Source organism: Homo sapiens, chromosome 17, assembly GCF_000001405.40.
Source record: "Homo sapiens chromosome 17, GRCh38.p14 Primary Assembly".
In the NCBI taxonomy this organism is placed as follows: domain Eukaryota; kingdom Metazoa; phylum Chordata; class Mammalia; order Primates; family Hominidae; genus Homo; species Homo sapiens.
The window spans coordinates 12,919,406-12,931,907 of NC_000017.11; the positions used below are offsets into that span (position 1 = coordinate 12,919,406).

Below are 12,502 nucleotides of genomic sequence, written 5' to 3' on the forward strand. Positions count from 1 at the left end.
GACGGAGTCTCGCTCTGTCACACAGGCTGGAGTGGAGTGGTGTGATCTCGGCTCACTGCAACCTTTGCCTCCTGGGTTCAAGTGATTCTTCTGCCTCAGACTCCCGAGTAACTGGAATTACAGGCGCATGCCACCACATCTGGTTAATTTTTGTATTTTTAGTAGAGTCGGAGTTTCGCCATATTGGCCAGGCTGGTCTCGAACTCCTGACCTCAGGTGATCCACCTGCCTTGGCCTCCCAAAGTGCTGGGATTAGAGGCATGAGCCACCGCGCCTGGCCAGGAATGGTTCCTAAAGAATTTATCTTGAGCTTCAGTTTAATTGTATCTTTTATGTTGTGTAACCACAGGTGGAAATCCCAAATATTCAAAAGCAGAGGAAACACTTAGCCAAGTTGGTGCTGGACATGGATTCCTCACGAACCAGGTAGAATCTCTTTACTTTCTTTTTTGCTTCTTTGAAGGGACAGTGATCATATTTTGGGCGGGTGGGTTTTAAGTAGGCAATTGTGTTTTCATTCACCAAGTTTTTCTGGACACCTAACGTGTACCAGGCACTGGAGGTAGTCACAGTGAACTCGAGACACTGGGTCCCTGTTCTCATGAAGGCTGCAGTTGAGTTTTGGAGGTAGACACTAGGCAAGTGAAGAAACAAGACAGTTCTAGAAAGATATGTCATATAAAAAATGTGGCCGGGTGCAGTGGCTCACACCTGTAACCCAGCACTTTGGGAGGCCAAGGCGGGCGGATCACAAGGTCAAGAGATCGAGACCATCCTGGCTAACATGGTGAAACCCTGTCTCTACTAAAAATACAAAAAAATTAGCCGGGCATGGTGGCGGGTGCCTGTAGTCCCAGCTACTTGGGAGGCTGAGGCAGGAGAATGGTGTGAACCGGGGAGGCGGAGCTTGCAGTGAGCCGAGATCATGCCACTGCATTCCAGCCTGGGCGACAGAGCAAGACTCCATCTCAAAAAAAAAAAAAAAAAAAGTAACACAGGGTAGTTTTGGAAGGCGATGATGGAGAAAGGGAGCAACAGCATTAAGGATAAAAGAGAAAAAGCTTTTTTGAGGTGGGTCATTTTGGTCTTAGACTTAGATGATGAGAAGGTGGCAGCCTTACAGAGATCTGGTGCAAAGCATCTATGGCAGAGGGCACAGCAAATGCAAAGGCCTCTTCAAGGCACAGAAGGAAGGTCGGCATGGCTGGGGCGGAAGGAGCAAAGGGAAGAGAAGTAGGAGGTGAGAGCCAGGAGGTAGGATGGTTGCTATGTCCTGTCCATTACAGGAAATTTCGCATTTTGGAGACTCACTCACCTTTTCCTGAAGCTGATGGTGTAGGTGTCTGCTTTCTGTAGCCTTTCTCTTAACTTGAGTCCTTTCAGAGAGCAGTCAAGTACCTGTAGGGCTGTTCTTCCACACCCATCTTCCAGAGTCCACCAGAAAATTCCTGTAGTAGCAGGCGGGTGCCAAAGGCCCTGAGACAGCATTGCCTGTGGCTGTCAGAGCAGGAATTGTGCACATATGTCCTTTTATTTTTTACAGTGGGATATGTGTATATAAGTTGAAAAAGGCAGGTGCGTGAGTATTAATATGGAAAGAACTATTTGGTTCTACCTTAGGTTTTTCGTAGACCAACTTTATTTTTTTATTTAATGTATTATTTATTTATTTATTTTTGAGATGAAGATTTGCTCTTGTCACCCAGGCTGGAGTGCAGTGGCGCGGTCTCTGCTCACTGCAACCTCCGCCTCCCAGGTTCAAGTGGTTCTCCTGCCTCAGCCTCCTGAGTGGCTGGGATTACAGGCACCTGCCACCACGCTCAGCTAATTTTTGTATTTTTAGTATACACAGGGTTCCGCCACGTTGGCCAGGCTGTTCACGAACTCCTGACTTCAAGTGATCTGCCCACCTCAGCCTCCCAAAGTGCTGGGAAATTTTTATTATTTTTAAAAATTTTGAGACAGGATCTCACTCTGTAACTCAGGCTGGAGTGCAGGGATGTGATCATAGCTCACTGCACTCTTGAACTCTTGGGCTCAAGCAATCCTTCTGCCTCAGGTCTCCCAAGTAGCTGGGACTACAGGCATGTGCCACTACACCTGGCTAATTTTTTTATTTTTAGTAGAGACAGGGTCTCACTGTGTTGCGCAGGCTAGTTTCAGACTCCAGAGTAGGCCAATTTTAATCATCTTCACAGCTTGTTTTCATTTTCTTGAAATAAAGAAACAGAATATATTTGGGCAAAGAGATGTAGCATACAGAGTTCAGAAGGTCAGATTTCAAGGTTCAGATTTCAACTATTTTCTAGATATGTGACCTTGGTCAAGTCACTTAATCTCCCAGAATATCATTTTCTTCACCTGGACGCAAGGAGTAACATTCGTGGGTGGCTGTTTTGAGTACTAATATCACTTCCCAAGTGCTTTATAAAAAGAAGCTGATACTGTAAGTAATTGTTGCACTGGAATTCTGCATCAGGAAGAATAAAAGGTACAGAGCAGTCCCCCAAGACCAGACATAAAACAGGTTAAAATCAGCAAAGAAACAAGGGTTTCTTTGGTTAACTTACTTGTCCCCAAACCCTCAGTCCACCTGAATGATTTTTGCCATCTGTGTCGATACATCTTTTAAGAGAGTTGATTACTTTTTCAAAATAAATATATTTTGAAAAGAAATCCTTTCATGCTACCATAAATTGGAAAGCAGTATCCTTTGCTACAAATACCAGGTAAGCATAAAAGTGAACAGATGAAAGCAAAGCCAATGTTACTAAATTTTAGAGCCTGTTGACTGTGGAAGAATGTCATCCTGAAGCTCATCTTCCTTTGTTAAAAAAGAAGAAGGGGAGGCGAGGCGTTAGGTGGTTTTAAAATTATTCTGATGCAAATATGAGACTAACCTCTTTAGCGTGCTTGGAGGAATAGACAGCAGAATGAGTGGGAAGTACTGATTTGCTATTACCTCTATGACCTTGTGCCACGTAAAATTGCATCCCATAATATGAGTGTTCAAGTACCCTATTTTGGGAGTCATGTAAGATGGCTGAAGAAATGCAGATTGCCCCATTGTTTTCATGAGGTGGACACCATGCTCCTGGGCAGAGTGACATCCTTCTCTGAAACCTGGGGCTTAGCTCTGAAGTCTTTTCTTTGCATCTACAAAGAAAACCCACATTTCCACCACAGAGCCTCTTGTTAGCAGGCTGAATGCTAGTATCAAACCATGTCATTACCATACATATTTTTGTTTTGTCTTCTTATGAGAAGGAGAATTATTCCTGGTCACATTGATGGTCCGTTCTCCTGCCTCAGCCTCCCGAGTAGCTGGGATTACAGGCACCTGCCATCACACTCAGCTAATTTTTGTATTTTTAGTATAGACGGGGTTTCGCCATGTTGGCCAGGCTGGTCACGAACTCCTCTAGCAGGAACACTAGACAAAGTCTAGAGTTATGTTTTCAGTGGTGACACCAAGTAGTCTGTAGGTTCTGCAAACGTACATGCCACTTGGTGTCATTAGGGACCTCTCCCCTGTGATTTAACAAATGTTTTTATATCTTCAGCTTATCATCTCCTGTATATTAAAATCTAGTAAGGAAATTCTACCCCACCCCCATGCAAATTTCTGTTTTTATAAACTTCAACTTGGACCCTTTATAACCTTTGTTGTTTTAGACTAAAAAAGTCTTGTTTGCATTGTTTTCATATAAACTTGATCCGTCTCCTTTATCACATCGGTGATTTTTCATAGCCCACTTTGTGCAGTTGTGAGTTTAGGGATAGGGAATTGCTTTGGGGGATTGTTTGTTTTTTCGTTTTTTTGAGACAGAGTTTTGCTCTTGTTGCCCAGGCTAGAGTGCAATGGCGCAATCTCAGTTCACTGCAACCTCCACCTCCCAGGTTCAAGCGATTCTCCTGCCTCAGCCTCCTGAGTAGCTGGGATTATGGGCGCCACCACACCCAGCTAATTTTTGTATTTTTAGTAATTTTAGTAGAGACGGGGTTTCGCCATGTTGGCCAGGCTGGTCTCGAACTCCTGACCTCAGGTAGATCCGTCTGCCTCAGCATCCCAAAGTGCTGGGTTTACAGGCGTGAGCCACTGTGCCCGGCCGCTTTGGGGGATTGTTGACAGTACAGTCCCCTTGAAAACTCAGTTGATTTCCCCTTCAGGTGTCAGCTTTGGTAACCGTGGCGGGAGATCTAACTCAAGGCCTCAAGTTATAGATTCCCCATAAGTATGAGTTATAGGCTACAGGATGAAAAGGGCATTTTTAGCAAAGGTATACTCTTTGTTTCCGCTTTACTCTCAGACTGGCCATTTCTAGCCTGAGTCTACCTGTCTTGTAGGACCTTGCCAAAAGCCATAAGAAGCCAACCCAACACAACTTCCTGCCATTTTCCCTAACTCCTCACTCTTAGCCCGTATGAGGTCTGCATCCCAAGATATAGCAGTGAGAGCAAGACCAAATGCTGTGCTATTGAACAGCAGGGATCACCAGCTCCTCTTCTGGAACAGCTGGGTTCTGAATGCTCCCCCCCTACCCCCTGCATTTCTCCATAAAGCCAATGGCACAGGTTAGTTTTTCTTCCTTGCAGCATCCTACTTCTGATTTATTTCATATTGTTCTGTCCTTCATGAAGTATGCTCTGCAGCACTGCAACAGTGAATTCCACATAGAGACCCTCCGCCTTTCAAGACAGGAAGTAGATTTGTATATATTATCAGCACATCTTGAACAATAGTCCCATGACTGGATCTTTAATTTCTGCCACAATTCTGATGGATACTGTCAAATCCAATTAATTTATCTCGTGTTTAATTAGATCCCAATAAGATGTGTATGTTTGTCACTATTGAAGTAAATCTGGCTTGTCTGCTTCAAAAGCCAATGATACAGACCTCAATATTCTCAGAGAAACTGATGCTTACAGGACGCTTTATGCTGAATTAAAGGTTGTGAATTGAATTGAATGATACGCAAATTTCTTTTTTGTGTGTGATAGGTTTGGTTTAGCAGTGCTTAAAGAAGGAGCCTAATTTTTCTCCAAAGTCAGCCTGACTTTTTTCTGGTCATGTAGCTCAAGGTTAACCCTCCCGAGTCTGGGACACATACACATTCCATTTCTGCCGAACCAGCTGCCTCTGGGTCCTAGGGACTGAATGGTATCTCTCCAAAATTTGTATATTGAAGCGCTAACCCCCAATGCGACTGTATCTGGAGATAGGTTCTTTAGGAGAACCTTATTAAGGTTAAATGAGGTCATAAGAATGGGCCCCTATTTCACTAGGATTGGTGGCCTTATAGGGAGAAAGAGTGATCTCTCTCTCTACACGCACTCAGAGGAAAGCTGTGTGAGGACAGAAACAGCAGCCATCTGCAAGTCACAGATAGAGGTCTCCAGCCTCTGTCTTGATCTTGGATGTCCAGCCTCCAGAATTGTGAGAAGATAAGCCTCTGTTGTTTAAGCCACCCAGTCTGTGGTACTTTGTTATGGAAGCCCTACCTTCTTTGGAAGCAAGTGAACTAGTGTAAGTAAGACAGGAGGGTTTTGGAGTGGAAACTGTGCAGGCTATGGAGTTAAGAAGTGGAATTCTGGAGGCGGGGCAGTGTGAAGTCTTGTTAGAACTGGCAGTGGAGTCTCGATGGCCATCAAAACTCATTCCTCGTCTCTCACCCCTCCCCATACAGGTGTCTTTTTCTCACATCTGATTTCTTCAAGGTCACTGGATGTCGCATGGGCTCATGTCTCCCCACTATGAGCCCTCTTCCTTTTGCCCCAATTCCGAAAGTGCCAAAGAGGGACTCCATTTGTCTGGACTTTGCTCATATGCCCACTTCCATGACTCGTCAGTTGGGTCAGTGTGAGGAAGGATGGCACAGGCTTGACTTGGATCAGAGGCCCTCACCTGGGCCACTCACTGCCTGGGTCATGCAGAACCTGGCAGTCCCCTTTTTGACCACACATTACTGCAGAGTGGAAGCAGGAACTTAAAAAGTGGGGGATGCCCATGGCAGAGGAAGGGGCAAGACTAGACAGAAGGAACAGTGAATGCCCCAATGAAGACACTCTCCTGTCTGCCTTTTAAAATTCTTCTTCTGGACATTCTGTTGTCCTGAACTGACCTGCATTTGCCTTCTTTACATATTCCTGGTACCTGAAATTTTAAACCCTTATTCCTCTCCCTTCTCTCTCATCTCTCCCAAGGCTTCATTAAAGCTTGTGTCCCATCTTCATCTCCCCCAGATCACATAGTCACAAGTCCTCTTTCCCCAGAGAAGGATGGTGGTACATCAGCTACTTTAGTGAGAAGAAATGATCCTTCTGCTCTTCAACTTTCAAAGCTCAAAGTTTCCTTGGACAATGTCTAGTGTTCCTGTTTCTCCTCTGACAGAGCAGCCCAACTCTTGAGTTTATGTGTAGAACAGAGGTCTGAAAAGACTACCAAACCTTGAAATTCATAATTCGTGTTACTTTTCCCAAAATGACTATCTGTACAAAATTTTCCCAACATGACTATCTGTACAAAATTCATGTCACCTTTTCCAGCATGAGTATCTGTACAAAACTCGTCTGTTCACATGACAAGAGTTTACCTTGGTATTTTGTTTGCTATTTATGTTCCACAAAGAGAACATATTTTGGACATCTTGTCACTGTTTTAAAATATCAAAATAGACCAGGCACGGTGGCTCACGCCTATAATCCCAGCACTTTGGGAGGCGAATGAGGGTGGATGGCCTGAGGTCAGGAGTTCAAGACTAACCTGACCAACATGGCGAAACCCCGTCTCTACTAAAAATACAAAAATTAGCTGGGCATGGTGGCATGTGCCTGTAATCCCAGCTACTCGGGAGGCTGAGGCAGAAGAATCGCTTGAACCCAGGAGGTGGAAGTTGCAGTGAGCTGAGATTGCACCACTGCACTCCAGCCTGGGTGACAGAGCGAGACTTGATATGAAAAAAAAATTATATATGTATTATATATAATATATATTGTATATATATAATATATATGTATATATAATATATATGTATATACATAATATATATACATATATAATATATATAATATATATGTATGTATAATATATGTATATATATTATATATGCATATATATTATACATACATATATATTATATATATAACATTGTAAATTGTAAATAAAATTTCTTATAAAAAGGGGAAATGTATATGTTTTTAAAGCATCAAGATACTGACTACAGGATAAAATCTGGAGGAAAAAATAGATGAGAATAAAAAGAAAAGAAGGAACTTGGGAAAATGTCTTCATTTTAATATACCTATATTTAGTATGATTCTGTTTTTTAAAAAATTTAATCCTGAGTTACAAAGCCATAAAAATCTACTTAGTGTTTGTAGTCACTTTATATATATTTTAAACACTTTCATATTGGTTAGTTATTTTTTCTTCAGGTAGCATGAGTCAGATGGTGGTTCTAACTTAATTCCATAATCTACCATTGTGTTGTAGTTATTGTCTGAGATCTAAATTACAGCCATGGCATCTCGTATTTTATTCTCCAAAACTCCACAACACTTTAATACTTTATTTGAAATGATTCAACTGGGAGAGTATTAATCAAATATATCACTTGTATAGGGTAAACCTTTATAAGAAAAAATTACCCAGGAATTCTTCCTAATCTTGATCTGTTATTTTTTTTTCAACTTAGATGTTGAAACATCTTTCAGTAGAATATTTCCTTTCTAGTTTGCCCTGAATTCTTATCTTGGAATCAGGAATCTTTCAGAGAACATGTGTTCATCTCTGGAGCTTCAAGCCAGCTTGATGTCTCAAAACCTTTTTAAAGTAATTTTCCCGTGATTGCATTCTTTAAGTGACAGAGAATCCTCATTTTTGCTCCTTTTTGCTAACAGCAAGGAGACTTTTAGTTTCCATTTCTTGTATTATAGAGCCTTGCATTCTTCTGTTTTTCCTGCAGATAGCAAAAGAGAAAAGAATAGTGGAGTAGAGAAAATACTAAATGATTAGATTCTTGACTCTTGACATGAGAATGACATTCTACTTTCTGTCCTCGCATCAGAGGCTGCAGACTGATGGTCTGAGATCCAGATAGAGCCCCCAGAGCTCTCTTGTTTGGTCTGTATGCTGTTAGCCTGCATGGTTTTTAAAAGAAATTATTTGTTGCCACATTTCACTTGGGAGAGTTCACATAACAATTTCCTCCTTCTCTAGTCAGTTGAAACATCTGGCAACCCATGACCCAGCTTCCTGCCCACCTCAGCCCCATCAGCTGGAGCTCATGAACAGCTACCCTCTCTTAAACAAGGCAGGATCCCTCCTACCAAGTTCCCAGCTCCCCCTGCTCCCGCCTGACTTCCCAAGACTAAAGCCAGCCTTGGCTGCTGTTTGTCCTCCTGATTACAGGATTGTTTTTCTTAGAGCTGAGAAATAGTTTTATATTTCCTGTCTCCATTACAAGTAGGAAATAGAGGATCGTGCGGACTAGTTTTTAAGATAATGGCCCATTTGATTTATTTTATTTTTTTTTAACTTGCTGGCCTCTATAACCCATTGAGTTTACAGACTCAGGAGAGGAACCCACTGCTGAGACCTAATTCAGCTACTACTATAGCATAATTGGAACCATCTTTCCAATTATGCCTACTTTTGGTAATTCCCTGCTGATAACACAGCAGCCAGAAATATTTGTATTTCCTCCTAAAGTTTTCTGAGTGACTTCGTTAGAAGGCCAAATTTTTAAGAAAACATTCATGAGGAATCTAAATGTTGCCATAAAAATTGTTTTGGGCTTACCAGTGGAGATTTTTGCTATCAGATTTGTTTTTAATCTTACCAGCATGTCTTCTCACTTAGCATACGTCACTGGCTTCAAGCCAAGAAGGTGAGGATTTCCATACTCAAATTCCCACAGGATAGGCAGGGGACTTAAACCAATGATAGAGACTGTGCTTAAAGGGCAGTGATAGTTATTTTGAAATATATAATATACAGTATATTACTATAATCACCCTGATTAAACTTCAGATGTCTCACCACAGAAAATCATGAGTAAGTGAGGTGATGGATATGTTAACTAGCTTGATTTAATCATTCCATACTGTGTGTGTGTGTACATGTGTACATATATCCCAACACATCACATTGTACCCATAAATGTATATGATTATGATTTATCCATTAAAAATAACATTAATTTTTTTAAAAAGACAGCAGTAGTGATTGCCATTTGGCTTTAGTGTTTGGAAGACAATAGAGAAAATAGTGACAAACCAGGGGATGCTCGTCCTATCTGAAGGGGCAGCTGATTCTCAGCTTCAGTAAGCAGTTGACGCATGGAAATATGGGCCCACTGTCTCCTTGCCTAGTCCTTGGTGCCTTTTCATGACCTCCCTTTTCCAGTGAGGGTATGTAGTTCCCTGGGTGATATTTGTAACCAGATGTTTTCTCAGTGCTCCCATGGGATCCCCAGGGCTCTACCTGTCTCACATCTCTTTTTCTCCTATTTTCCATCAGGTGGCAGCAGACTTCCAAGTCTTCAGGTTTGTCCAGCAGCTTACAGCCTGCGGGTGCCAAGGCTGATGCCCTCAGGGAAGAAATGGAAGAGGCTGCCAACAGAGTGGAGATTTGCAGGGTACCTGCCCTCTTTGCTCCTCTCTACTGGGACAGGCTGGGGAGCCCTCAGGGATTCCCTTTTTGTTCACTGGAGTTCTCTTAAAACTCTGTCAGTGAGGCTCTAGTTGAACTGAATGTCCCCAAGCCCGCCGGCTAGCATCTCCAAGGAGTCCAGGATGAACCCAAGGAGTTGGGGCTTTGATGGTGACCTAGACAGGGAGGCAGCATTCATTTATCATTGGTGGTCCTGCATGCTAGGCAAAGAGGAATGACCTTTATTTCTGTGTGAAGCTTTTGTAAATCATCTGAGTCCCAAAGAATAAATTCTAGGTGACACAGGACAGTTGAGAATTTGACCATAGATGAGCCTTGACTCACTGTTGATACTTAGTTATTTCCTTTTTGGCTGCGTTTTGATATTTCCTGAGTTGCTTTATCCATCCTATGCCTCCTGGAAGACACTTATCTATGAAGTTGAAATGCTAGCCATGAAAAGAGTCACAGAAAAGAAAACTTCCCACTTGTTAAGAGAGAGGACATCGTTCTGAAAACTGCGACTCTGTACTCGTGTAATGATGTCCTTCGTTGTACTCATTCAGATGTTTCCCATCTCCTTTTCTTGCAAATATTTCACAGGACTTAGGTAGCAATAGACCATTCACGATGCTCTGTGTATATGTACATCTCTTTACCTGCATATATGTCAGCTTGGGTTTCTAAGGAAACCAAAACTCTATTTAGACCCAAGGAACAAAAACATCACATTTCTGTAACTATTCTGGGAACCTGTCCTAATCACATCCAGTTTTGAAGGAGAATAACCAGTTTGCCTGTGGACATCTCTGTTCTTCATGGCTCTGTCTAGTCTTAGCTTGTCCATAGGCTTTTTCTCTTACAGCCACCCTGTGCAAGTGGCTTTGACCTTGCATTCAGGTGACATTCAGAATCAGGGAGAATTTCTCTCTAGAATTAGAAACATTGAAAGATTTTTAAAGAATTCATTATCTCCCAGCCTACAGTACTATGGAACCAAGCAAAGTAAGACTAGTACTTCATATGCCAGATTTTTTGTGAGTGCAGCTGATTTGTCATTTGAACTCCTGCATATATGCCAAATATCTGGCGTGTGTGGTATTCCTGAAGCATAACTCTTCTCTCCTTCCAATTTCATTTTTACTGTGTTTTCTTTTTTTATTCTTTTCTCTCTCTCTCTTTTTTTTTTTGAGGCAGAGTTTCGTTCTTGTTGCCCATGCTGGAGTGCAATGGCACGGTCTTGGCTCACCGCAACTTCCGTCTCCCAGGTTGAAGTGATTCTCCTGCCTCAGCCTCCCAAGTAGCTGGGATTATAGGTGCACACAACCACGCTTGGCTAATTTTTTTTGTATTTTTAGTAGAGACGGGGGTTTTACCATATTGGCCAGGCTGGTCATGAACTCCTGATCTCAGGTGATCTACCTGCCTCGGCCTCACAAAGTGCTGGGATTACAGGCGTGAGCCACCGTGCCTGGCCTACCGTCTATTTTTTAACTATCTACCATGGATCTATGTTCCTCTGTTAAGAATTCTTTTTTCTTTTAATTTCTTTTTCAATAGACAAGAGAGGGTGGTGGTAAGCAAGGATGCTGGATGTGAATATCCAAATAGATCAGGATAAAAGTTCAGTAGCTTTATCCATTCCTGTCTAGCTTATATTCGCTATTGTGCCAAAAATGTATTCATTTCCTCTTCAAAGATTCGTAGTACATGTTCAGCATAATGAGTTAAAAAATACAAAAATATATAAAGAAAAACACTAATATTCTCTCCCTTCCTGTCCAGCAACCTTTCTGTTTCCAAACAGGGTAGAAACCTCCCCACCAATATTTGTTAAGACTTCATTATGACAATGCACTTTGTTAGGTGCCAAGCAGCCATAACAGTTATAAGGATAAGGAAGCCAGTGCTAGATAGAACCTGTTATATCATACTCCAGACTTTTCTTCATAATCATACATAGTCATAGCATTTTTCTAGTTATTTATATGTTTGTTTGTTTTTGTTTTGTTTTGTTCTGTTTTGTTTTGAGACAGAGTCTTGTTCTGTTACCCAGGCTGGAGTACAGTGGCGTGATCTCGGCTCATTGCAACCTCTGCCTCCTGGGTTCAAGCAATTCTTATGCCTTAGCCTCCTGAGTAGCTGGGACTACAGGCGCATGCCACCACTCCTGGCTAATTTTTATATTTTTAATAGAGACAGGGTTTCGCCGTGTTGGCCAGGCTGGTCACAAACTCCTGACCTCAGGTGATCTGCCCGCCTCAGCCTCCCAAAGTGCTAGGATTACAGGTGTGTGCTACCACGCCCGGCCTATATGTTTGTTTTTAATAAAACAGTCATATTATTTATATTAATCTACCATTTAATTTTCTCAGTTAACACCACATCCTGAACATCTCTCTAGGTTAGTAGCTGTAGTTCTAACTTAGTCTTTTTTATTTATTTATTTTTTTTGAGACGGAGTCTTGCTCTGTCACCCAGGCTGGAGTGCAGTGGCGGGATCTCCGCTCACTGCAAGCTCCGCCTCCCGGGTTCACACCATTCTCCTGCCTCAGCCTCCCAAGTAGCTGGGACTACAGGCGCCCGCCACCACGCCCGGCTAATTTTTTTGTATTTTTTTAGTAGAGACGGGGTTTCACCATGTTAGCCAGGATGGTCTCAATCTCCTGACCTCATGATCCACCTGCCTCAGCCTCCCAAAGTGCTGGGATTACAGGCATGAGCCACCGCACCCAGCCGTTAGTCTTTTTTATAAATTGCATGATATTCCACAGTAGGGATACACACACACACACACACACACACACACACACACACACATATCATGATTTATTTAGCTATTTTCCT

The 12,502-nt window shown here is 42.3% G+C and overlaps 1 protein-coding gene across 10 annotated transcripts in view; it reads left to right on the plus strand.

Annotated features, from left to right (window-relative positions):
• The window catches only part of ARHGAP44 (Rho GTPase activating protein 44), a 202,146-nt gene that overhangs the window by 129,908 nt on the left and 59,736 nt on the right, over positions 1–12,502 (plus strand). For 8 of the 10 annotated variants that reach the window (NR_135569.2, NM_001321167.2, NM_014859.6 and 5 more), the window contains exons 6-7: positions 350–426; positions 9,524–9,641. Coding sequence is in view for 7 of the 10 variants with exons in the window: in NM_001321167.2 (NP_001308096.1) it covers positions 350–426; positions 9,524–9,641 (195 nt within the window). In the remaining 3 variants the exon portion in view is untranslated. Of the gene's footprint in view, positions 1–349; positions 427–9,523; positions 9,642–12,502 lie in introns of those variants that run through there. The other 2 variants (NM_001321168.2, XM_047437222.1) reach the window with 2 other exon arrangements.